This window comes from Homo sapiens, chromosome 13, assembly GCF_000001405.40.
Source record: "Homo sapiens chromosome 13, GRCh38.p14 Primary Assembly".
Lineage (NCBI taxonomy): Eukaryota > Metazoa > Chordata > Mammalia > Primates > Hominidae > Homo > Homo sapiens.
The window spans coordinates 97,670,545-97,697,436 of NC_000013.11; the positions used below are offsets into that span (position 1 = coordinate 97,670,545).

General features: G+C 42.0%; 1 long non-coding RNA gene across 2 annotated transcripts in view, besides 1 other annotated feature; it reads right to left on the reverse strand.

Annotated features, from left to right (window-relative positions):
* LOC105370324 (uncharacterized) overlaps window positions 1-26,892 on the reverse strand; it is a 179,291-nt gene that overhangs the window by 138,791 nt on the left and 13,608 nt on the right. For both annotated transcript variants that reach the window (XR_007063845.1, XR_931663.3), the window contains exon 3: window positions 7,247-7,419. This is a non-coding gene — a long non-coding RNA (uncharacterized LOC105370324). The remainder of the gene's footprint in view (window positions 1-7,246; window positions 7,420-26,892) is intronic.
* Window positions 2,635-3,242: an enhancer, noted in NCBI's record as "OCT4-H3K27ac-H3K4me1 hESC enhancer chr13:98325433-98326040 (GRCh37/hg19 assembly coordinates)". NCBI's record gives its function as "activates a minimal SCP1, AML or CMV promoter by ChIP-STARR-seq in primed H9 embryonic stem cells {active_cell/tissue: H9 hESC(primed)}" and the evidence as "EXISTENCE:reporter gene assay evidence [ECO:0000049][PMID:30033119]".

A 26,892-nucleotide genomic window follows, 5' to 3' on the forward strand; every position in this document is an offset into this window, starting at 1 on the left:
CGTTTAGTGCTATAAATTTCCCTCTACACACTGCTTTGAATGCGTCCCAGAGATTCTGGTATGTGGTGTCTTTGTTCTCGTTGGTTTCAAAGAACATCTTTATTTCTGCCTTCATTTCGTTATGTACCCAGTAGTCATTCAGGAGCAGGTTGTTCAGTTTCCATGTAGTTGAGCGGCTTTGAGTGAGATTCTTAATCCTGAGTTCTAGTTTGATTGCACTGCGGTCTGAGAGATAGTTTGTTATAATTTCTGTTCTTTTACATTTGCTGAGGAGAGCTTTACTTCCAACTATGTGGTCAATTTTGGAATAGGTGTGGTGTGGTGCTGAAAAAAATGTATATTCTGTTGATTTGGGGTGGAGAGTTCTGTAGATGTCTATTAGGTCCGCTTGGTGCAGAGCTGAGTTCAATTCCTGGGTATCCTTGTTGACTTTCTGTCTCGTTGATCTGTCTAATGTTGACAGTGGGGTGTTAAAGTCTCCCATTATTAATGTGTGGGAGTCTAAGTCTCTTTGTAGGTCACTCAGGACTTGCTTTATGAATCTGGGTGCTCCTGTATTGGGTGCATAAATATTTAGGATAGTTAGCTCCTCTTGTTGAATTGATCCCTTTACCATTATGTAATGGCCTTCTTTGTCTCTTTTGATCTTTGTTGGTTTAAAGTCTGTTTTATCAGAGACTAGGATTGCAACCCCTGCCTTTTTTTTGTTTTCCATTGGCTTGGTAGATCTTCCTCCATCCTTTTATTTTGAGCCTATGTGTGTCTCTGCACGTGAGATGGGTTTCCTGAATACAGCACACTGATGGGTCTTGACTCTTTATCCAACTTGCCAGTCTGTGTCTTTTAATTGCAGAATTTAGTCCATTTATATTTAAAGTTAATATTGTTATGTGTGAATTTGATCCTGTCATTATGATGTTAGCTGGTGATTTTGCTCATTAGTTGATGCAGTTTCTTCCTAGTCTTGATGGTCTTTACATTTTGGCATGATTTTGCAGCGGCTGGTACCGGTTGTTCCTTTCCATGTTTAGCGCTTCCTTCAGGAGCTCTTTTAGGGCAGGCCTGGTGGTGAGAAAATCTCTCAGCATTTGCTTGTCTATAAAGTATTTTATTTCTCCTTCACTTATGAAGCTTAGTTTGGCTGGATATGAAATTCTGGGTTGAAAATTCTTTTCTTTAAGAATGTTGAATATTGGCCCCCACTCTCTTCTGGCTTGTAGGGTTTCTGCCGAGAGATCCGCTGTTAGTCTGATGGGCTTTCCTTTGAGGGTAACCCGACCTTTCTCTCTGGCTGCCCTTAACATTTTTTCCTTCATTTCAACTTTGGTGAATCTGACAATTATGTGTCTTGGAGTTGCTCTTCTTGAGGAGTATCTTTGTGGCGTTCTCTGTATTTCCTGAATCTGAATGTTGGCCTGCCTTGCTAGATTGGGGAAGTTCTCCTGGATAATATCCTGCAGAGTGTTTTCCAACTTGGTTCCATTCTCCACATCACTTTCAGGTACACCAATCAGACGTAGATTTGGTCTTTTCACATAGTCCCATATTTCTTGGAGGCTTTGCTCATTTCTTTTTATTCTTTTTTCTCTAAACTTCCCTTCTTGCTTCATTTCATTCATTTCATCTCCATTGCTGATACCCTTTCTTCCAGTTGATCGCATCGGCTCCTGAGGCTTCTGCATTCTTCACGTAGTTCTCGAGCCTTGGTTTTCAGCTCCATCAGCTCCTTTAAGCACTTCTCTGTATTGGTTATTCTAGTTATACATTCTTCTAAATTTTTTTCAAAGTTTTCAACTTCTTTGCCTTTGGTTTGAATGTCCTCCCGTAGCTCAGAGTAATTTGATCGTCTGAAGCCTTCTTCTCTCAGCTCGTCAAAATCATTCTCCATCCAGCTTTGTTCCGTTGCTGGTGAGGAACTGCGTTCCTTTGGAGGAGGAGACGCGCTCTGCGTTTTAGAGTTTCCAGTTTTTCTGTTCTGTTTTTTCCCCATCTTTGTGGTTTTATCTACTTTTGGTCTTTGATGATGGTGATGTACAGATGGGTTTTCGGTGTAGATGTCCTTTCTGGTTGTTAGTTTTCCTTCTAACAGACAGGACCTTCAGCTGCAGGTCTGTTGGAATACCCTGCCGTGTGAGGTGTCAGTGTGCCCCTGCTGGGGGGTGCCTCCCAGTTAGGCTGCTCGGGGGTCAGGGGTCAGGGACCCACTTGAGGAGGCAGTCTGCCCGTTCTCAGATCTCCAGCTGCGTGCTGGGAGAACCACTGCTCTCTTCAAAGCTGTCAGACAGGGACACTTAAGTCTGCAGAGGTTACTGCTGTCTTTTTGTTTGTCTGTGCCCTGCCCCCAGAGGTGGAGCCTACAGAGGCAGGCAGGCCTCCTTGAGTTGTGGTGGGCTCCACCCAGTTGGAGCTTCCGGGCTGCTTTGTTTACCTAAGCAAGCCTGGGCAATGGCGGGCGCCCCTCCCCCAGCCTCGTTGCCGCCTTGCAGTTTGATCTCAGACTGCTGTGCTAGCAATCAGCGAGATTCCGTGGGCGTAGGACCCTCTGAGCCAGGTGTGGGATATAGTCTCGTGGTGCGCCGTTTTTTAAGCCGGTCTGAAAAGCGCAATATTCGGGTGGGAGTGACCCGATTTTCCAGGTGCGTCCGTCACCCCTTTCTTTGACTCGGAAAGGGAACTCCCTGACCCCTTGCGCTTCCCAGGTGAGTCAATGCCTCGCCCTGCTTCGGCTCGCGCACGGTGCGCGCACACACTGGCCTGCGCCCACTGTCTGGCACTCCCTAGTGAGATGAACCCGGTACCTCAGATGGAAATGCAGAAATCACCCGTCTTCTGCGTCGCTCACGCTGGGAGCTGTAGACCAGAGCTGTGCCTATTCGGCCATCTTGGCTCCTCCACCGATAATCCTTCTTAAGAGGAGTCTATTTATTATATTCCTATGGGGTATACTGGACCATGGGTTCTTAAGATCAGAGGCTATGTCACCCCAATACCTAGCACAGTGTTAGACACATAGTAGTTGCTCGTTAAATGTTCGCAGAGCCATTGATCTAAAATTATTACATAGTATTCCAGGTGATCACAAGTCTGCTTAGGGTGCTTGAATATTTTTCTTTCCTTCAGTGTTTCTTTTCTGCTCAATTAGTAGTCAAAATGGCATAAAACTAGATGGATATATTTAACTGGGACCAAAGTAATTCTTTTCTTTCTGTCCTACTCTTTGTTGTTAAACCATGGTTATATGGCCCTGTGGGGTGATTACCAGAATCATCTGAGTGTAGCCCTAGGAACTCTCTCTGGGTGGCCTGAACAAGTCAGCTGGAATCAGCAGATGGGGCTGCATGCAAGGAATTAGCTTCCAATAGGATAAGTAATGTCCTCCTTCTAGAAGTGGGGTGTATAACTTCCTTCAGCCCCAATGTCTCGAGGTCTGGGCAGCTAACATTCCCAGACAACTCCTACCTACAGTTGGCAGCCCAAATCCAGACTGCCAGCTGCCAGATAATGAGTGTGTTTTCCTCCACTGACATGGGTACTTTCTTTTAAATGCCCTGTGTAAAATGGAATCCCCTAGAGTGTGGGGTCCAAACACTGGAATGGTGCCCTGGCCTCACACACGTCCCTGGGATAATGAAGGAATCAGGAAACCAGTGCCTTCTCTCTCTCAACAACCGTTGGCCTATGTTAGTTTTTCATCTTCCCAGTACAGCCTGTATTATAACCCAAACTGTGTGACACTGTAGAATTTACATCAAACCCAGACGGGACTCACCTGGTTGCACAGGTGGCATCCCAGAAGGAACCCACCTTCAGGATAGACACCCACCGTGTTCCACATTAGCTGAGACTATAAGCATGGAGTTCCAGTGGTGGGGGGAGCCTGAGACAAGCAATCAGGCCACCTGGAGCTCGGCAGCCCCTAAAATAGATGCGTCATCTGATGACAAGTTTTCTAGATCCCTGGTTCACAAATGGCTTATCTCTGAATTTCCAATGAACACACACGCTGAAAAACAAAAGACAGTCCAACAAAACAAAAGCCTAAGTTCCCCTGAGTGTCATGAAGTCCATGGAGCTACTGCACTTGATGTCATTCAATCTTCACTGCGAGGGTTTCTTGTTGATGCCCAGGAGAGAACTGAGGGTGCTCTTGAGAATGCCTATTGTTCACATATCCAGACCCTAAACATGGCACTTTGTTCTGGGATCCTTTCAGTTACAAAGAAGGAAGTATACTAGGCTCAATTCTGCCAGATGTTGTGGCTAATGTGCATGTAATAAACAAATTGTAGAAGGTGAGCTAGTTCACTGAAGGCTCTAAAGATGATCCAGTGAAAAGAACAAAGTTCCCAAAAGACACTCAATATATTCACCAGCATATTTTGCCTCTTTTACCCTCTCTCAAGCATCATTGTGAACATTCAGGGTCATCATCAGAAAGATGCCGCTGGTGGACACCTTAACAGGTATATGGCACATGGTAACTTTAGACAGGAAACCTCTGCCTGATATTTTGAAGTATATTTGGAGATAACTTCTGGGGCACCACATGGTCAGAGCCCACTAAGAGAATAGCAGGTTCTTGATACTTCTGTTTCAAGAGTTCAAGGGCTACAGTGAAGCAAACTAATCCAAGCACAAAAAACATCAGAATCCATTTCATATTATTTTCTGTATGCCTAGTGCATGTTGCTAGAATAATTGTTTGCAAAGAGGCAGGGAAATAAAACTGAGCTTGGCTCCTCATGCAGTACAACCCAGCAGCGCTGAGCACGATGGAGCAGTTGTCCTCATATCAGCCCATCATCCAGCCAACCCTGCAACTGGGTCCATGAGGTCAGGTCTCTAATGGCTGATCTGACTGATCAGGCTTTCAGAGTACATCAGACAGCAGTAGCTGCTGTTTTGCTGAACTTGACAGCAGGACCATGCCCATTTAAAACACTAAGGTCAAATCACGTCTCTTCCTGAAATTCTTCATGATGGCACTAAGCAAAGAACACACAATTTTTGATTGTCCAAATACAAGTCTGGTTGTCAAGAACCATGCGAGCTATAAAAACACCTTCCTACCGTCAAATGAACAAAGAATTCACTCAGGTTATCCTAAACATCACTGGGAAAGCACTGAATAACTTTATGAGGCTCTTAAAGCAGTCATTGCAAACACATGGGTGAAAAGCTTTCGAGTCACACAAGGAAGAGTCATAATCCATATTTGGCATCATTATTTTTATAACCAGCAAAGTGATCTCTCTTGAAATTGCTTAGGGATCATTAGCATTGAATGATTAGGAATCTAAGACACCAATATCATGATTACTTATTTCTATAAATGATAATGTTTTAGTGTTGGAAATCATATTGCCGGTTGAAACAATTGAGTAATTACCAGTAGCACAAAGGACACCAGCACAAACACAATAACATAAAACACACTCTCTACTGACTCTAGCTCTGCTGAGAAGATTCTTTTCAAACAGGGAAAAAGGCAGGGATAATAGCAGCCATGGCCACAGAAGCTGGCTACAATATACATTGTCAAGAACATGTATGCAATATCGACATTAATTGTGATTGAAGTAGCATGCCTATGGTTTCTGTCTATAGGTGTTTTCTCTGTGCTACCTGAACCCCAAAGCCTTGTTTCATAGACTAAAGGTCACTGCCAAACCCAAACGTTAATAGCTTGGTTTTGATGGAAACATTTTGCTGCAGTATATTTTCCATAACCTATTTTTCATTACCCATCCACCTTCTACCTGGCACTGTTGTTTCCATATACAACATTATAACATGGATGTTTTATGATAAAATATTAAGCAAACAAAGAAGGCAACCTGTATACACACAAGGCATACCCTTGTATAGCTCACATCTGTTCAGTAAATACCTATAGCTTTTGTATTTAGCAATTTCTGTCATTATTTGGAGCACTGGAACTAATCCTATTTTTTCCTTAAAAAAAAACTTCCAGCATATTTTTTTAAGGTTGGTATAGTTGGTAAGCCTGAGATCAGGGCACCAGCGTGGTTAGGTTTTGGGGAAGGCCCCCTTCTGGGTTGCAGACTGCAGTCTCCTCATTGTATCCTCAGATGGTGGGAAGAGAGTGAGCTAGCCCTCTGGCCTCTTCTTATAAGGGCACTGGTCCCATTCATGAAGGCTCCACCCACATGATGTAATTACCTCTCAAGGCTGCATCATGATCACATTGGGGGTTAGATTTTAACATATGAATTTTGGAGGGATACAAATAGTCCATAACGGTTGTTTTGTGTTTTTCGTCTAACACGTAATAACTGAAAACCATGTGTATCCTTAGGGATATAACATAATTCTTAGGAGACCTGAAACTCACCAAGAGATCTCATCTGAGATCTTCAAATGTCTTCATGTTGTGGGTTCTTAGTATTTAAACCTACAGCACAAGAAAATGATTTTTTTTTTTGAAATGGAGTTTCACTCTTGTTGCCCAGGCTGGAGTGCATTGGCACAGTCTCGGCTCACTACCACCTCTGCCTCCCGGGTTCAAGCAATCCTCCTGCCTCAGCCTCCTGAGTAGCTGGGATTACAGGCACCTACCACCATGCCCGGCTAATTTTTGTATTTTTAGTAGAGACGGGGTTTCCATGTTGGCCAGGCTAGTCTTAAACTCCTGACCTCAGGTGATCCGCCTGCCTCGGCCACCCAAAGTGCTGGGATTACAGGCATGAGCCACCATGCCTGACCTAAGAAAATGATTTCTAAGATGGACAATATATTACATTGATTACCAAACTCCAAATTAACATTCACATTCCACTTCTAAGGCGACACACCTGCTTTGCTTACCTGTGAGTTCATGTTTTTAATAACTACAAATTGGCAGATGATACCTTGCATAGTCATTGAATTTCAGTGTTTTTAAGCCAGCCTATCTGTGTTTCAACAATCTTGTCAATGTTTCTAGATCTAATCATCACACCATAGGGGCAAATGCAAAAAAAAAAAAAAAAAAAAAAAGCAAAGCACGTAATTTAGCAGTTTATAATCTAGTGGGCATAATAAAACAGATGTACATGAGAAGTTGTTACAAGAAATTACTTATAATTTTCTTTAACATTTTAAGGCAATACCAAAAGAAATGTCAATACTTAATGCATGATTGATTATAAGGATTAAAACTCAGATTTGCCTGCCTCTAAATTCTGTTTTCTCTGCTACATAAACAATTCCAGAGAGGTCTGCCAATCTTACTATATCCACTAACCTCAGAACTTGCCATTAGTAGAATGTCTCTGAAAGTCCCAGCAGCTTTTCAATAGAGGAGACACAAGGTAGCTGTGAGATGCAGAGGCCTTGATACAAATCTCAGGAGCTGGTTTGCCAATGGGATCATCAAGTTTTTCTCCCCAGCAGGGACATCTCGTGTCATCTGTTGTTCTGAAACATTAGGGGACTCATTTAACTGATAATGAAAATGACAGCAATTACGGGATTTTCTAAATGCCTGCGTCTTAGGGCTTGGAGGACATTTGTGGGAGAAACTGCTCCTTTCAAGACAACCTGTCCTGGTTTTGACCTTGTACTGCAGCTATGTGAGATGCACCAGCTGGGGGAAGTTGGGTGAAATTACTGTGAATTCTATAATTATTTCAAAATTTAACATTACAAACAATGAAAAGATAACCTGAGTAGTTCAACAGGCGAGACACACAGTGTCCAAAGTGAGACGTGGAAGAGGTGCTCCCCATAACTCCTGAGCACGTGGTGTCTCCCCATGGTCCCCTTTGTCCCTTTGTCCTGGAGCCAGGGTTCCCAGAGGGGACTGCAGGCAGCTAGTTTGAACATGGAATTCGGAGTTAAAGGACTTGGTCATGGTCCTGACTCTCCCACTAACTGACTCTGGTCACGCCGCTTAGCCTCTGAGTCTGTTTCTTTACCTGTAAAGCATTTCTTTCTTTTTTAGAAAAGGCCACTTACAGATTCGCAAATATTGGGTATTCTGACCATCCTTTCTATCAGTTGTGGCCCCAGAGACCTGTGTAAGGCCAGCGGCCCTTTCAATGTGGTGCTCAAGTCCCTCGGCTGCCATGGCAGAGCTCTTGAGGTGGCCCACATGTGACCCAGCCTCAGCCTCACCACAAATCCAGGCCTTTGCTTACAAGAAGCAACTTTGTTCTTATTTATCCACAGCTGCTTGTGGTCACCCCCATCCAAGGCAACAGCCACTGGATGTCACATTGCCTGCTGCCAGCCATACATGTCCCCGCCATCACAGTAGACCTATTATCAGCTGTGACTCAGGGCAACTCCCTGGGCTGTTGAGATGGCTTGGATGTGTGTCCCCTCCAAATCCCATGTTGAAATGTCACCCCCAATGTTTGAGGTAGGGTCTGGTGGGAAGTGTTTGAGTAATGGGGCAGATCCCTCATGAATGACTTCGTGCCATCCTTGTGATAATGAGAGAGTTCTCTCTCTGAGTTCACACAAGATCTGGTTGTTTAGAGAGTCTGGGACCTCCCTCTTCTCTGTCTTGCTCCTGTCTTGCCATGTGATATGCCTTCCCCCATTTCACCTTCCACCATGATCGGAAGCTTCCTGAGGTCTCACCAGAAGCAGGTGCTGGAGCCATGCTTCCTGTACAGCCTGCAGAACCAGGAGACAATTAAATCTCTTTTCTTTATAAATTACCCAGCCTCAGGTATTTCTTTATGACAGTGCAAATGGACTGACACAGCTATCTTCCAGGGCCAGTAGTTGGAGGCTTTGTCCTGCCCTGGCATGTTCCATAGAGCTGGGGAGTGTCAATGAGCAAAGAGTCAAAAGTGCCGGGTGCAAGAGGCCCAAGTGTCCCTTCCCCACAGGAAGCTGAAGACCAGCATGGCAGCAGGGGCCTTGCCTCATGGAGATCGAAACCACATAGGTCCTGGAAGCAATGCCAGCCTGCCTGATTCCCTTCTGTAAACTTAAGCATTCTTACCATATGATTCAGTAATCATCCTTCTTGGGGAGACTCAAGTACTCTGGAAAGCTCTGTGCGTTCATGCACTGAACACTGGTCAAGTTTACTCTGGAAAACAGGGGCCATGCTATGTGTTCTCTACATCATGAGTCTTAATTCAAGGAAATGGAAGCATTGAAGCAGTTATTTTTCTAAAGCTGTGATTTTCTAAGTGGGTATGGGAACCAGCAGCATCAACCTCACCTTGGAAATTGCTAGAAATGTAAATCTGAGGCCCTGCCCTAGGCCTACTGAATCATGCACTCCAAGGATGGGCTCCAACAGTCTGTGCTTTATCAAGCTGTCTGGGTGCTTCTGATCCAGCACAAGTTTGAGAACCACTATTCTAGAGCTTTCTAGAGCCTTGCTCTGGACCTTACCACTGCCTACAGCAGCCTCCCCAGTCTCACCCGCTTGCCTTTCTTTGGGAAACTCTAACCCAAGACCATTCAGGGGAAGAAGATTCTGAGAAATATATTTCCCAGCTTTTCCTCTGCAGAGATCTTAGGGGTAGTGGTGATACCAAGGAGACAGATAACACAGCTAATAAATACAAAAGTGATGGAAACATCTCAGGTGGTTCTGGACATATGTGGAAGCGGCCACCCCCCAGGCTCCAGGGGAGCTTCTCTAGCCTCAAGAATCTTCCCCAATAACCCCCCTATATCATGACAGAGCCTCAAGTCCCTCATTAGAAATCTCTCCTCTGGGGCATTAGATCCTTTTGCCTTGCTTTAGTAAAATATTTATAGTCCAACCCTTTTTCTTAAGAGACTTTATTTTAAAGAGCACTTTTAGTTTCACAGCAAAATTTTTGTTTTTGTTTTTGTTTTTGTTTTGAGACAGAATCTGTCTCAAACAGACTGTGTCTCCCAGGCTGCAGTGCACTGGTGTGATCTCAGCCCACTGCCACCTCCGCCTCCCAGGTTCAAGGGATTCTCTTGCCTCAGCCTCCCCAGTAGCTGGGATTACAGGCACACACCACCAAAGCCCGGCGAATTTTTGTATTTTTAGTAGAGACGGAGTTTCACCATGTTGGCCAGGCTTGTCTCGGACTCCTGACTTCAAGTGATTTGCCTGCCTCAGCCTCCCAAAGTGCTAGGATTACAGGTGTGAGCCACCATGTCCGGCCAGCAAAATTGAGCAGAAAGTACCAAGATTTTCTATATATTCCTTGCCCCTACATAGGCATAGCCTCCCCCATTATCAACATCTCCCACCACAGAGGTACATTATTACATTTGATGAACCTGCATTGACACACCATCATTACCCACAGCCCATAGTTTACATTAGGGCTCAACTTTGGTGTTGTACATTCTATGGATGTGGACAAATGTATAATGACATATACTCACCATTAGAGTATCATGCATAGTAGTTTTACTGCCTTAAAAATCCCCTGGGCTCCTATTCATTTCTCCCTCCCGCTAACCCCATGGCAACCACTGATCTTTTTATTTTCTCCACAGATCTGCCTTTTCCAGAATGTCATGTATTCAGAATTATAGAGTAAGTAGCCTTTTCAGACAAGCTTTTTTCACTTAGTAATAACTGTTTAAGTTTCCTCCATGTCTTTTCATGGTGTGATCGCTCATTTCTTTTTAGTGTTGAACAACATTCCATCATCTGGATGTATCACAGTTTAACCATTAACCTACTGAGGGACATCTTGATTGCTCCCAAGTTTTGGCAATTATGAATAAAGCTGCTATAAATATGCATGTGCAGGTTTTTGCGTGGACATAAGTTTTCCACTCCTTTGGGTAAATACCAAGAAGCACGATTACTGAATCATAAGGTAAGAGTATGTTTCATTTTGTAAGAAATCACCAAACTGTCTTCCAAAGTGGCTGTACCATTTTGCATTTCCACCTGCAGTGAATGAGGGTTCCTACTGACCCACATCCTCACCAGAAATTGGTGGTGTCAGTGCTCTGAATTTTGGCAATTCTAATAGGTGCATCATGGTATCTCATTGTTTTAAACAAACAGTTTTGGTAAATAATGTAGACATAAAGAGAAGTTTAGGAGTTGAAGATATCAAGATATTTAAAAATGTTATCACACAGACACATATATATATTTATTTATATATTTCTTATTTTATATATTTGGAACTTGAACTGATACTGGCCAAAATACAGAACAGGTGTTTTATGGAAATACATGTGATACCTTTGCTGGTGATAGAGTAATCCCTTTTTTATATAGAATTTACAGATAATTTCAACAAGGAACATGAAGAAAATGCATATTTGAAGTCTGAAATAATAGACTGGAGCTTCATGAAGCACCAGAAAAAGCACAGGCAAATCTTCATCATTTCTCAGGTTTTTACATTTTATTTAATTTTGTTCAATTAAAGAACCAAAGCCCAAGGCTATTAAGGGCTGGACTATGTGCCCAAGAAACTTCCTTCTACAACTGGATGGCCACTGCCCTTCCCCTTCACATGGGCACTTCACATCAAGATGTCTTTGAGGCACAAGTATGGAGTACCCAAGTCATATCAAGGGGAGATAGAACTTGAGCCAAAATAGTTAACAGAGAACTCAGAGGAGTGACATGGGGGTTATTAAGTAATGGGCTGCTAACACTCCAGCTCATCTTTCCTTTTTTAAAATTAAAAATAGTTATATGCAAATACTCTAGGATTTAACAGTCACTAACATCTGATGTATGCATTCGCATATTAGGTCAATTTTCTAATTGACGCAAAGGTATTTTGACAGCACTGGGCCACTGCAGGGAAGATGAAGGGGGTGGAGAAAGATGAAGGAGAGTCCACATCACTGACTGTAGACCATCAAGAGGATGCTAGTAGATTTCATTTATTCAAGACTTCAGACTGGAGGCAGAGCAAGGCGGTGAACTAGAAGGTTCCACCAATGGTCTCCCTGGCAAGGACACCAATTTAACAACTATCTACACAGATAAAGCACCTTTAAAAGAACCAAAATTCAGATCCCAGAGCTTCACAAGTCCTATAACATTCTTTAAAAGTGCTAGCGAGATGATGAACATTTTAAGAGCAACTAATAATACAACTATTTCAAAAATAATTTTAGTCATCACACAATTCTTTCTAGAAAGACTATTCACTACTGAAAATGTTAATACTAATAAAGTATTTCTGAACTTTGAAACGTGTTATCCAGAGAATGTGAAAAAATAACTCAGAAACAGAATTGAATACAAAATCAGTAAGGTAGGGCTATACAATAAAAATGTAATAATATATTATAATATAATAACATGTACCACACATATAATGTTAAATTTTACAACCAAATTTAAATAATTTAAAATAAATAGGTAAAATTGATTTTAATATTGTATTTTATATAACTCAGTATATTTAGAATATCATTTCAACATGTAATCAATATAATAAATTATGAAAGAGATATTTTTAAAAATAAAAAGATAAAAACTTCAAGTATTTGGGGGAACCATCATAAGCCTGGCACTGTGTAAACACCAAAGACATAAGAAAGAATAAGACAGTTCTCCTCTTCAAGGAGGTTACATTCCAGAGAGACAGATAAACAACAAATTTTAAGCAATATAATTGGTGCTGCAGTCAAGATATGGGTAATTTATTATGTGATCAGATTAGAGAAGGTGTGCTCCTACTTAGGGGTGTGCTGGATGTCTTCTGTCTGCATTTCTATATCTACTTTCAACCGTCTGCATCCTGCAGGTAGGCTGGTTGTGATAATCAGCCTCCAAGGTGGCCCCTAGTGATCTCTGCCCTCTGGTTTTCCTGTTCCTGAATAACACCCTCCCATGTTATATGAGGGCTGGTCTGTGTCAGATGTGATGGTATGTGACTCTCAAGGCTAGGTCATCATACATACCACAACTTCTCAGTTGCTCTCTCTTAGATCACCTGCTCTGGGGGAAGCAAGCTGCCATGTCATGAGGACACCCATGTAACCTTATAGAGGAGCCCCCTGTGATAATGGAACTAAAAAGCCTCCAGCTAAAAGCCAGGTGAGTGAGGGATCTTGGAAGCAAATTCTCTAGCCTTCAGATGACTGTAGCCTCAGCTGACTTCTTAAAGGCAACCTCTTAAGAGACATTGAGCCAAAATCTAGCTATCCAAATTCCTGCTCCACAGAGACTATGAGGTGAAGTTTGCTATTTTAAGCTACTAAGTTTTGGAATCATTTGTTATAAAGCAATAGATAAATAATACACTAACCTCTTTGGACTGCATCAGCAGGCTCCCTTGCCCAACTCTTACTTCCAGCTGGGTTCAGCTAATGAGGGTTATGATGGGAGAAAGGTTGTGGAGCAGAGTTAGGATATTCAATTCCCCAGCTTCCCCCGTATTGGCCACGGTGTCTTGGCCATAAAGGTGTCAGTTTCTGTTTAGTGGTTGCCCCCTTACAGTTACTGGCACCAGGTCCTAGTGACTGCACTATTCCTTTGCCTTTTTAGGCCCCGACGTTTTACAAGCTCAAAGGTCCCGCAGTTGATCCTTTGTAATTTCCATATGCCCTGCCTATACCTTTGTAAATAGCCCCTTTGTAAACTGTCCTCAAATTACCCAATTTGTGTATGCATCTGTTTCCTGCTGAAACCATGACCCATACAAACAGTGGAAATAGGAAGGCTCGGGAGAAATGATGTTCAATCTGAGTCATGAAGAATGGCTGCAATCTTGTCAACTAAAAGAGCAAGAGCCACACATCGTCTAGCACCCATTACTCAGGCAAGTAAATATTGAATTCCAATAGCATTATACCTACACTGGCTCAAGTCTAATGGGACACCATTCACACTGTACTCTACACGAATGGCATCCAGAGTTATGTGATAAGGGCATGATTGTAGGATTCGATTTCAATCCACGTCCAAAGCTTCATATGAAATATTATTTTCTAGAATTTCTATGATGTAATTTCTATTTCAAACAACCCATTCTGTAGATTACAGAAACTTCTTAATTTAGATTCCTGCTCTCTTCCTGTCCTCTCGGATGAAATGGGTAACTCAGGACTTTCTTTTTTTCTGTATAGACAGGGTCTTGCTATGTTGCCCAGGCTGGTCTCAAACTCCTAGGTTCAAGTGATTCTCCTGCCTCAGCCTCCCAAAGTGCTGGGATTACAGATGTAAGCCACTGCACCTGGCCCCAGGAGATTTTTTTTTTTTTTTTTTTTTTGAGACAGAGTCTGTTACCCAGGCTGGAGTGCTGTGGCTCAATCTTGGCTCACTGCAACTTCCACCTCCTGGGTTCAAGCGATTCTCATGTCTCAGCCTCCCTAGTAGCAGGGATTACAGGCACGCACCAACATGGCCAGCTAATTTTTGTATTTTTAGTAGAGATGGGGTTTCACCTTGTTGGCCAGGCTGGTCTTGAACTCCTGACCTCAAGTGATCCACCCACCTCAGCCACCCAAAGTGCAGGGATTACAAGCATAAGCCACCATGCCCCATCCCCTGGAGATTATTTTTAAAACTCAATTACTATTTCAAAAACACCTGGATTCATTCAGTAACATTTTATTTCTTCAGAATGTATGAACTCAGTCTTTGTTATACTTCTGTGTAGGTTAGACTGGAGTTCAATGTGGCCAATGCAAAGATGTTCTGCAAAGCAGCTGATTAGAGTGTGCACGATTGCAGAAGCACATTCAATCTCTGGAAGAGAGCAAATCGTTTTTAAGGACTTTAACCCATTAACTATTTGTATGCAAACAGGGTTGCTAATTATAAATGAGTTTTATCTCGTCAATACAGCAGCTCAGCAGGACTTCTACTTGGAAGCCTTCTGTCAGAACTTTGTGAAAATTTAGTTTGAGTTTCTGTTTGCATTTAAAATGTATTTCTTTAAAAATTGACTTTAATTCAGCCTAGTATCTGATTTACATTGACCTTCCAGCCAGTTAGTACCCATCAGTGAGGCTTAAACACAGCAGACAGGAGTGGATGGCAAGAAAATGAGCCAAAAGCATTAGAATATGAAAGCTAGAATCAATAAGGCACAATAAAATATTTTCAAATCCAAATTATGAAAAACCCTTGAAATAACTCATCAAAATAAGAAATGACCACCCATTCAACAATCTGAGCTGAAGAATTTACCTAATCAGGTTATTGGCTATAACATTGTAGACAAGGGGGCAAATGAAAAAGATCTCCAGATTGCAAAGGGCCAACTGAAGCCAAAATTAAATAGGCTGAACCTTGCTTTAGACCTGAGATAAGATGTAGAAATGTCAGCACTCACCATTGATTAAGCATCTGCTTGGAATTTCTTTATTTCTTGCCCTGCTTTCACAGAACACCTGCTAGAGAAGTGCAAATAATTGCAAGATCATTTGAAACATGAACATGAACTTATCTTTACGTCTGGTATACTAACCCTAAGTCTCTATCATAAAGGCCAAACAGAGTTGAGCCACAGGAGATTTTCTTCCTGGCCAGTACTAAGAAAAGCAACCATGGTGCTTTGCATCCAAGGGACAAGGACGGTCAGGTTTAAAACATTTGTTTCTATTGTTGTCACTGATGGGCTGGGAGCTCTCTGCAGCTCCACTGATTGGATGGAGAAGGAGGAAGCCATTCTCCATGCTTGACCATTCCGCCCTGCCCAGTTTCTTAGGAGATGAAAATGATAACATGCTCGAGGTACAGATACATCCTCATGTCTCACAAACCAGATGCCCATTCATTTGTTTTGAACATAGAGTATGTGACATATCAGTCAGATTCGACTAGATGCACCTTGGAACAAACATCCTTCAAATCCCGGTGGCTTCAAACAACAGATTGCTTTCTCACTTGCGTGTCATGTTTTTCATTATTGTCTTGAGGCTCTGCTCATACTGGGACACAAGTTGATGGAGCAGTCAGCCATCTGACTGCTCTAAGACTCAGACTTTATACCAAATAACACACTAATTCTTCAATCTTCTGCTCATATTTCCCTGGCCAAAGCACACCACTGGAAAATGCCTGAGTTTAATCCTGCTCTGTGCATAAAGGAATAAAAATCAGAGTATTGGTGAAGAGTCCTATAGCCACTACATTCTTGCGAAAAGTTCTACATACCCCTGCTGCGACGAGGTTATCAGAAAGGTAGAAAAATTAAAGGAAACATGAGTGAAGGGGCTATGAGCAGATTAGAGATGCAGATCGCAGAAAATGTGCTAAGGAGGGATGGAATTTGTGGAGATGAGTTTTAGTCAGTCACATGACCTATATTTAGATTTTTGACAGTTTCATACGCACCAGCAATCTCTCTTCTCACCTTCTCCCTACTTTGGCTCATCAACTGATAAAGAGTGACAGGCAGAGAAGGTGATAAGCTGACAAGATAGCACCATGCTTGTGCGTGTGTGAATGCATGTGTTGGTATGAAAGAGCTGCCATGTGAAGCAGATTGTTTTATTAATCCTACAAGAAAGTGACCAGGGTTGAGGTGTCTGAGTATCGGTGGCTACTGCAAATAGCTCCCATTATGGCACTTGTAGGTGTCCATACCCCGTTCCCACCTGCAGCTCTTTGGCCAAGGAAGAGGGAAGTGCTGGCGATTCATCAGTGCACTGAGATGTGTAAGTCCAAAAATACCTCAGGCCTGAGAACAGATGCTCAGCTTAGACCTGGGAAACAGAATGGTTGCTACAGACATAGATCCTCCTGCTACACAGGAACCCAAGGTGTATTAAATAATTTTTTTAAAAAACTCCAGTGAGCAAAGGATAAGCTATTCCACAAAAGGTGTTGGGAAAACAAGTTGTTATTTGTGGGGTGGGGGAGGGGGAAATCCATGAAGATACTCATTTCAGCTCTCCATTCACTGATAAATTCTATCTGGACTGGAGCGATAAGAATTTTAATTAAACCATTAAAAGAAAAACTCAGAAGAAAATATATTTATTTAATGTCTGAATGGGAAGGACTTTTTAAATATAAAACCTGCAGGAATAGGATTACAAAAGAAAAGATTAACGGATTTGACTACATAAAAATTTCAACTTATTTGTAAAAAAAATCTAAATTAAAAGGTAAGTGTCAAACTGAGTGGAGGGGGGGAATTGCCTCTAATGTGATAGACAAAGGATTAATATCTTCAATATATTAAGAGCTCATATAATTCAATAACAAAGAATATGGCTAGCTGGATGTGGTGGCTCACACCTATAATCCCAGCAATATGGGAGGCCAAGGTGGATGGATCACTTGAGGCCAGGAGTTTGAGACCAGCCTGGCCAACCCCATCTCTACTGAAAATACAAAACTTAGCAAGGCGTGGTGGCACACACCTATAGTCCTAGCTACTTGGGAGGCTGAGGTACGAGGGTCACTCAAACCCTGGTTGCAGTGAGCTGAGATCATGCCACTACACTCCAGCCTGGGCAATTGAGCAAGACCTTTAAAAAAAAAAAAAGAATATGACTAAAAAAAAATTCAACCTCAACTAGTAAAAAATGAGACAAAAGTTTTAAATAAAATATAAACACCGTTTTTATCTACCAAATGAAAAACACATTTGAAACCCATGGTGGATAACAGAATACAAAGGATACCAATAATCGCTGAGAGGCAGGAAACAAACAAGGTGGGCCCCACGATTTTCCAAGTTACTGCCCTGGGAGAGTTTCCAGGTTGTAGCCCAGGGAGAGTGGATGCAAGAGGAGACCAGCAGACTCCTTAAATCAAAAAGATTAAGTTGGGAATCTTGGGGGACCAAGCAGCTAGAATTTGCAGAATAGAATAGCAGAGAGGTGAGATATTCATAGGGTCCCCCGATGCATTCAGTAGAGTCCTGGTCAGCATATGAATGTAAGGAAACCCCCTGAGGCTGGGGAAAGACTCGCCCTAAAGGATTAGAGGGAGCAAGTACCCAGCACGCACACAGCACTAGCAATAATGCTCAATTCCACCAATCAGGCTGCAAAGCCTCACCAGGAATTGAATAGAATATTCAGAAAGATCTTGCTACAGTGGTGGGCAAAATTAATCCTACATAATTCATTCTCAACCTGGGGACATTTTGCCCCCAGGGGACATTTGACAATGTCTAGAGACATTTTTTTATTGTCAACACTGAAGGGAGCTTCTAGTGGCATCTAGTGGGTAGAGGCCAGGGATGCTGTTAAATATCCTACAGAAAAGTATTATCTCATACAAAATGGCAAAAGTACTGAGGTTGGAAAATCCTGTCCTAGTCTAAATGCTGTTTAGGTCATGCCCAAGAGCAAGACCTGAAAAGCTTAAACTGTTTCCAAGTTACTGAACTATATCCTAAAACAAAGCTCAAGAATATATGTAGGAATTGTTAAAAGGTGCTATCTATAATGTTTGGGATCTAATAAAAAATTACCAGGTGTGCAAAGAAGTAGAAAAATATAAGCCATAGTGAAGGGAAAAATTAATCTATCAAAACTGAACCAGAATTGATACAGATATTATATTTAGGAAAGACGAACATAACACAGCTATTATAACTGTATTCCATATGTTTAAAAAGTCAAGTAGAGACATGGATAATATGAGAAAGAAACTCACCCAGGCATGGTGGCTCATATGTGTAATCCCAGCACTTTGGGAGACCAAGGCAGGAGGATCGGTTGAGCTTAGGAGTTTGAAACCAGCCTGAGCAACATAGCAAGACCTTGTCTCTACTAAAAATCCCCTAAAAAATAACCAGGCATGGTGGCACACACTTGTAGTCCCAGCTACTAGGGAGGCTGAGGCAAGAGGATTGCTTGAGCCAAGGAAATCAAGGCTGCAGTGAACTACAGTCATGCCTAAGCACTCCAGCAAATGAGTGAGATCCTGTCTCAAAAAAATAAGTAAATAAAATAAAACAAAAATTTAAAAATTAAAAAGAGAGACGGGCAGATCACCTGAGGTCAGGAGTTCAAGACCAGCCTGGCCAACATGGTGAAACCCTGTCTCTACTAAAAATACAAAAATTAGCCAGGAGTGGTGGCAGGTACCTGTAATCCCAGCTACACAGGAGGTTGAGGCAGGAGAATCACTTGAACCCAGAAGGTGAAGTTTACAGTGAGCTGAAATCATGTGGCTACACTCCAGCCTGGGTGACAGAGAAGGACTCTGTAAAAAAAAAAAAAAAAAAATTAAATTAAAAAGAAACTCAAATTGAACTTCTACAAGTGAAAAATGTGGTGTCTTAGATGAAAACTATACTGGATGGGATTAAAAGCAAAGTGACTTTGCTGAAAAAAGATTAATGAAGTTGAAGCAAGTAGCCATGTACGCTAGCCAAAACAAAACGTAAAGAAAAAGCCAACCCTTAAAAAATACCCTTAGTATTAGTGAGCTGTAATACAATTTCAAGTGGCCTAATATGTCTTTAATTGGTGTCTCCAAAGGGGGCAAGAACAGGGAAAAAAAAAAAAAAACTAGAAGAAACAGGCTAAGAATTTTCCAAATTTGATAAAAGCTATAAATCCACAGATTTAAAAAGTTTAATGAGTCCCAGGCAAAATAAACATGAAGAAAACTACACCATAGCAAATCAAAATCAACTTGCTTTAAAAAAGTAATAAATAAAATTATAAAAGCAGCCTTTAGGGGAAAAAGGCAGGTAAAATACAGAGAAACAAAGATGCTAAGGACAGATTTCTCATCAGGAAAAATGCATGCAAGAAGAGTATGGAGTAACATCGCTAATGTACCCCCACTCCAACCTTCACCCCCCAAAACTTGTCAACCTAAAATTCTATAACCAGTGAAAGTATCTTTCAAACATGAACATTAAACATAGACTCTTTAAAACATATAAGGGCTGATGAATTTATCACCAGCAGACTTACACAACAACAAATGTCAAATGAAGTCCCTCAGGCAGAAGAAATGATACCAGATAGAAATGTGGATTTATACAAAGGAATAAACAGCACTGAAACTGGTAACTGCATAGTGTTCTATAACTCATCTCCAATGTCTAAAGATGCCAGCCTTCCAGTTCTCCATGAACTGCAAAGTCTGTGTTATGACCATTTGCCAGAGATGCTGGAGAAACACACGTGTCAGTATCATTCAATGTCAAGTCAATTCCTGACCATTCCAATGTGTTAGAAAAAGGAAACATACATACTACAGGTGCCATGATATGATAGTAATAACTGTTGAATAGTACATTTTTTGTATAGCAGATGAGCAATATGTTTCATTCAATTTATCATCCTCATCCTTGTTCAAGAGATTCTTTTTGTAAAAATGAGAATAAAAGTATTTTTCAATCTTGAGGCTATAACCAGTCAAAATTTTAAGATTCCTTAATGGCCAACCAATCAAAATACTCATCTAGGTTGGATGAATTTAATGTAAATCTACAATGTAAGTCTTCATTGAGTAATTCATCAAATAATTCATTCACTTGGCCAATATTTATTGAGTACCTGTTATGTACTAGGGATTGTGCCAGTACTGTAGATATAACAGTAAATAAGAAAGATGTAATCTCTGACCTTTTGGAGTTTGTTTACTTAAGATCCTATTGATTTCAGATTTACTACAATTTTAAAAACAAGTAAGATGGGCAAATTGTATAGCATCTTTAAATGGCTCCCATAGATCCCCTCTTTCCTCAAAATTTCTCACTACCCTAAATTATTCATGCCTAAACATCCACCACCTCTTTGTCTTCTGGCTTTTTGCCTAGATTAGGGTAGGGAACACACTTTAGGGAAGGAGGTCCATATAAAACCCAGTCATTTTCACCTTCATCTGTAAGAATTTATCTGATCTTTGCTGTGATGAAATTCTGAAGAGCAGATGTCTGGGTTGAGAGATCCAAAGGACACTAGGATACTGGAGATAGATAGACAGAGGGGAGAGCCAACAGACAGGAGTGCAGAACTAAAGAGAGCCAAGCAATACTATTCAGGACATAGACACAGGCAAAGATTTCATGACAAAAATGCCAAAAGCAATAGCAACAAAAGCAAAATTTGACTAATGACATCTAATTAAAATAAAGAGCTTCTTCACAGCAAAAGAAACTATCATCAGGGTGAACAGACAACCTACAGAATGGGAGAAAATTTTTGCAATCTGTCCATCTAACAAAGATCTAATATCCAGAGTCTGCAGGGAATTTAAACAAATTTACAAGAAAAACAAAACCTAACAACCCCATTAAAAAGTGGGCAAAGGACATGAACAGATACTTCTCAAAAGAAGACATTCATGCAGCCAACAAACATATGAAAAAAAGCTCAATATCACTGATCATTAGAGAAATCCAAATCAAAATCACAATGAGATACCATCTCACACCAGTCAGAATGGTGATTATTAGAAAGTCAAGAAACAGCAGTTGCTGGTGAGGTTGTGGAGAAAAAGGAACATTTTTACACTGTTGGTGAGAATGTTTTAGTTCAACCATTGTGGAAGACAGTGTGGCAAATTCTCAAAAACCTAGAGACAGAAATACCATTTGACCCAGCAATCCCATTACTGGCTATATACCAAAAGGAATATAAAGCATTCCATTATAAAGATTATTTATTGCAGCACTATTCACAATAACAAAGACATGGATTCAACCTAAATGCCCATCAATGATAGACTGGATAAAGAAAATGTGGTACATCTACACCACGGAATACTATGCAGCCATAAAAAGGATTGAGATCATGTCCTTTGCAGGGACATGGATGGAGCTGGAAGCCGTTATCCTCAGCAAACTAACACAGGAACAGAAAACCAAACACTACATGTTCTCACTTATAAATGGAAGCTGAACAATGAGAACACGTGGACACATGGTAGGGAACAACACATACTGGGATCTGTCAGTGGAGGTGGGGGCCAAGGGAGGGAGAATGCTGGGCTTAATACCTAGGTGATGGGTTGATCTGTACAGCAGGTCCTGTGCCTTCTCAAACAGGTTTAGGGCAATCTTACTGTATCTCCTGAAATAATCCCCCCAAAATCAGAATTTCAGAGTTTACATTTACAGTTGAAGAGTCAGAAGTCCAGAGAGGGGGCATGGCTTGCTTTTGACAGAGGTTGGTGAAATTCTAGCTCTCCTGAGTCCCTGTCGCACTTATTTAGTCCTAACACTGTGGCACGTGTTACATGTTATGTAACAAACCTGCACATCCTCCACATTTATTCCAGAACTCAAAATAAAAGTTGAAGAAAAAAAAGAGCCATAATTCCATTCAACGGCTAGATATGTCCCATGTGCAGACTAGTAATGGACCAGTACCCACAGCAGCCCACAGCAGCCCAGTGGGTGATCACTAGGTAGCAGCCAACCTCTCCCCCAACACCCCTCTACTGCAGCACTTCCACAGCAATTGCTGAGTCACAGTTCTGCCTAGAATTAGTTGCAAATATCTAAGCATTGCTAGCACTATTGTATCAGACACTTATCTATCCCATGTCATTTTCATTTGTTGAGTTTTTGGCTACCCTCACAAATAACAGGGCTCTTGAGTACATGAGCTCTGTTTTCCTAGTCTTTATGGGAGGCAGTTTAATGAAGCGAAAATGGCAATGAATTGATCCAAATTTGTCCTCTCTCCCCTTTTTAGGTGTGTAATCCTAGGTAGGCTTCCATTCCTATCTGTAAAATGGAAATGAGAATGCCTTCTTTGCCAGGTTGTTATAGGAATCCAATGACATGATAAAAGTAAAGCGTTTTCATAAAATTTCATAAAATCCCAAGAAGCTTACCACCACTTTTTATATATAATAAAAACAATAATAATTAACATTTTTGGTATGGTGCCAGCTAGTCTGCTAAATGCCTTATTTTAACAACCCTATAAGGTCAATAGTGTCATTATCCTTTTCATTTTGAACTGGGAAATCTGAGAGACAGAGAGGTTGAGTAACTTGCCCAAGGAAGATCATACAGTGGGTAAATGGTAAATTATTCTGTTGTTACTTCTCCTGGTGTTTTCCTTTGTGCCCAGCAGAGTGTATGGCACACAATGCCTGCAGTAAGCACTGATTATGTGGTTAAGCCTATTTATAACATTCACATAGGAAACGGGACTATCTTTCTTTGTATGAGTTCCCCTGTTGTCACAGGCTTTTACTATGTGCTTAAGTCTACAGAACATGACTTACCCTGAGGTTTATCAAAATCCTGCAATATTCTGCTCTGTGGCAGAGTGTGACCATGCTTACAGCCAGGTGGCATTCACTTGGGGCCAACCTGGAAATCCTTGGGGCCAAGCTGACTCAGTCTGGATTCACAGAGTGGGGCCTGCATAGACCCCCTGCACTGGACAGTGCTGGACAGTTCACGGGGGCCCTGAAGTGCTCCCTTCACTACAGTGACAGCAGACACTGTTCATCCCAAGCATAGCTCCTTGAGGGTTCTATCTCCACTTCACCCTGGAAGACAGATTCGTGGTTTCCAAGTTGCAGTGTTTCTATTTATCTACAGGTAAAGGCTGTGGTTCAAAGTCAAATATGAAATGTGCTTCTCATAATTGTGTGCAAACTGAGGACAAACCCAGTTTGTGTTTCTCTCTTCATCTTCCTGTGCCTTCTCAAACAGGTTTAGGGTAATCTTACTCTATCTCCTGAAATAATCCCCCTCAAAATCAGAATTTCAGAGTTTACATTTACAGTTGAAGAGTCAGAAGTCCAGAGAGGGGGCGTGGCTTGCTTTTGACAGAGGTTGGTGAAATTCTAGCTCTCCTGAGTCCCTGTCACACTTATTTAGTCCTAACTCATTATCCCCAGTGTCTGGTGGACCCAAGTTCTTAAGGACTCCATCTCTTAAAAGGCTGGTGGGGTGCAAGTTTACTTGCCCTCACCCACACCCACCAAGGATTGCAGGTGACCCTGAGGGGAGAAAGGGGAGTGTATTAGTCCCTTCTCATGCTCCTACTAAAGGCATACCCGAGACTGGGTAATTTATAAAGGAAAGAGGTTTAATTGACTCAAGGCTCCAGAGGCCTCACAATCATGGCAGAAGGTGAAGAAGGAACAAAGGCATATCTTACATGGCAGCAGGCAAAGAGAGCATGTGCAGAGGAACTCCCCTTTATAAAACCATCAGATCTCATGAGACCAGCACGGGAAAGACCTGCCCCTGTGATTTAATTACCTCCCACCAGGTCTGTCCCACAACATGTGGGGATTATGGGAGCTACAAGTCAAGATCAGATTTGGGTGGGGACACAGACAAACCATATCGGGGGCTTCTTGAAATTCTAGTTTTTATTCCCCTGACATCTTCAACCACGTCTATATAATGAGAATTTGAATATTACACAGAGCTCAAGAGCCCAAGATCTCCTTCCCAGCAAATTACACCACTCTGAGTAAGGAGAGCACTGGAGAAGCAAGGGCACCAATGATTCCGCTTGTGTAGAGCTGGTGGTGTCTTCTCACTTACCTCAGGCTAGGGAGGCTTGGTCGCCTCTTGCCTGTTGTGTCCCCATTTTGAAAGTACTGTAGGAAACTAAAGTAAAGGCATCACCAGCTTCAGGCTTCACTTGGTACTTGGTAAAACTGTCCGCAAGGGCCCCTGGGAATCCTGCTGGGTAGTTGGACTGTGAGTTCTGCCTGCTATAATCCCCTCCATCCTGGATTCTTGAGAGAAAGCATTTATTTGCATCAAGTCTTTCAGTATCGGCTTTTGGAGTGCAGCAAGGTGCCTTTATTTCTTTTTTAGGCAGGATGTCACACTGTCACCCAACCTGGAGTACTTTGGCGCGATCTCTGCTCACTGCAGCCTCAACCTCCCCAGGCTCAGATGATCCTCCCACCTCAGCCTCCCGAGTACCTGGAACTACAGGCATGTGCCCCCACACCCAGCTAATTTTTCTACATTTTGTAGAGACGGGGTCTCACTATGTTGTTCAGGCTGGTCTCGAACTCCAGGGCTCTAGCAATCCTCCCACATCTACCTCCCAAGTGCTAGGATTACAGGCATGAGCCACCAAGCCCCGCCACAAGGAGCCTTTTAAGGCACACACAACCAAGCCTGTGTCTCACTATTTGTGCTAGGAAGTCCTCCTATTTGTGCTACGAAGTTCTCAGTGATGCCTGAAATTCCCAGGAAGTTCCGGTGTTCTTGGAGTTTCTGAAGAACAAGGAGCAAACAGAAAATAAAAAACACTGGTAGTCAATGAGCCAAGTGAAGAGTGTGCAGTTGAAGATGCTGATAAATCTCTCTCTGGGACCCCCAGCTGTCAACCTCATCTATTCCAACAGCCTCTGCATCTTGCTGGTGGATTTGATTGGATTTGCAGAGCAGACTGCACTGGCTCCATTGCAAAGGAGCTAGTAAAATCATCATGACAGGTGGCATGTTACTTGAGAAGAGACAATGAAGTTAGACCAGTGAATCTCTTGCAATTATTAACTCGAACGTAATAACTTTGAGCACTGGGCAGGAGGAAGACAGTGAAGAGCGGGGATGAGTCAGTCGTCAGAGGGAGGAGGAGAAGGACGTTATCTGCTTTCCCAGGCTTTTACCTCCTGACTTTATGGCTGCCTCCTTGGTTCTACTCCACAGGTTTCTGTTTTAAATTAGCGCTAAATGAAATAGAATTAAAATATGATGAAGTAGTCTTTGGGTGTCTCTGCTTCTCATTTAAATACTTGAAAAACATTGCATTTCCAAATTCTGAACACTTTCTGGTTCAAAGCACAATTTGAGTTTGAGGATAAGAGTGATTTTTAGAGCTCCTTTTCAGAAAAGAAGAAAGGGTTGCTAAAATTGGCAAGAAAGAATGAGGGGAGGTAAAGAGGAAAGTCGACTGCATCTAAGAGAATAGCGGCTGGCCCCTTGCCTCTGACTCCATACGTGGTAAGGGAGGAATTTGGAGCAGGAATATGACCTTCCCTAGGGGTTGAAGGAGTTTAACAACATAGCTACAGCCTTTAGGTTGGGCTTTTCTGGTACCTTCCAAGTCTATGATATGTGACCATAAGACCAATTCAAATTAGATGTGGAGCCAGAAGGGTCCTCAGGGATTGAGGAACCACGGTGTCTAATTTTCTTATTCATTCCACTAACCATTTTTATTGGCGCTCAGAAATGTCAAGAAACTTGTCCAAGAATGCACCACCGGATTGCGGCATGGGGACTAGTACCGCCAGCCAGCACCCCCAAGGTCTCTCCACTCTCTCACACGGACTAGTATAATGTTCAAGGCTCCAGGTTGAAAAGCCAAAGCCCCTAAGATAAAAACCATGAGAACTCTAAGAATTGGAGACTATGTGATTCAACTGAGCAAAAGAAGGCCCTTGACTCAGCCCAAGATAGACATTTTTGAGAGATCTGTCATCAAGTATCGAATTTAGAAGTATCACTTGAGGTAATCAATCTTTCTGAGGATGCAAATTTCTTTGTATAGGTTGAAAGAAGAAACATCTCCAATGCACACAGATACATCAGTTAACAAATTAAAAACCCATATAAAACCCTCACTCCATCTGAAGAGTCCTGAGACTGTATCTAGAAAAGTGATCACATCAGAAGAATCTTCAAATATCAACAGCACTTTGAAGAGAAATATAAAAACAACTGCTGTAATTCCTTAGTAATTATAGTTATGGAGGAACTAAATCCTGCATCTGTGAGCAGAGAAGAGCCTCAGCCTGGATTCTTGGAGATTAGTCAGGGGGAAAGGCAAATCCCTCTGCACTCCTTCCATCCAGAAAGCAAGATCCCTCGGGAAGTTCCACAAAGCAAGTATATTCAGTATTCCTAATTACAGGGGAAGGTCATTGACTTGCTACAAATGAAGCATCGGATTTCCAGTTCAGCTGAACAGTTACAGATGGAAAACAAAGCTTACACTAAAAAAAAAAAAAAGATAAATAAAATAAAATAAATAAATAGGCCAGGTGTCGTAGCTCACGCCTGTAATCCCAGCACTTTGGGAGGCTGAAGCGGGTGGATCACCTGAGGTCAGGAGTTTGAGATCAGCCTGACCAACACG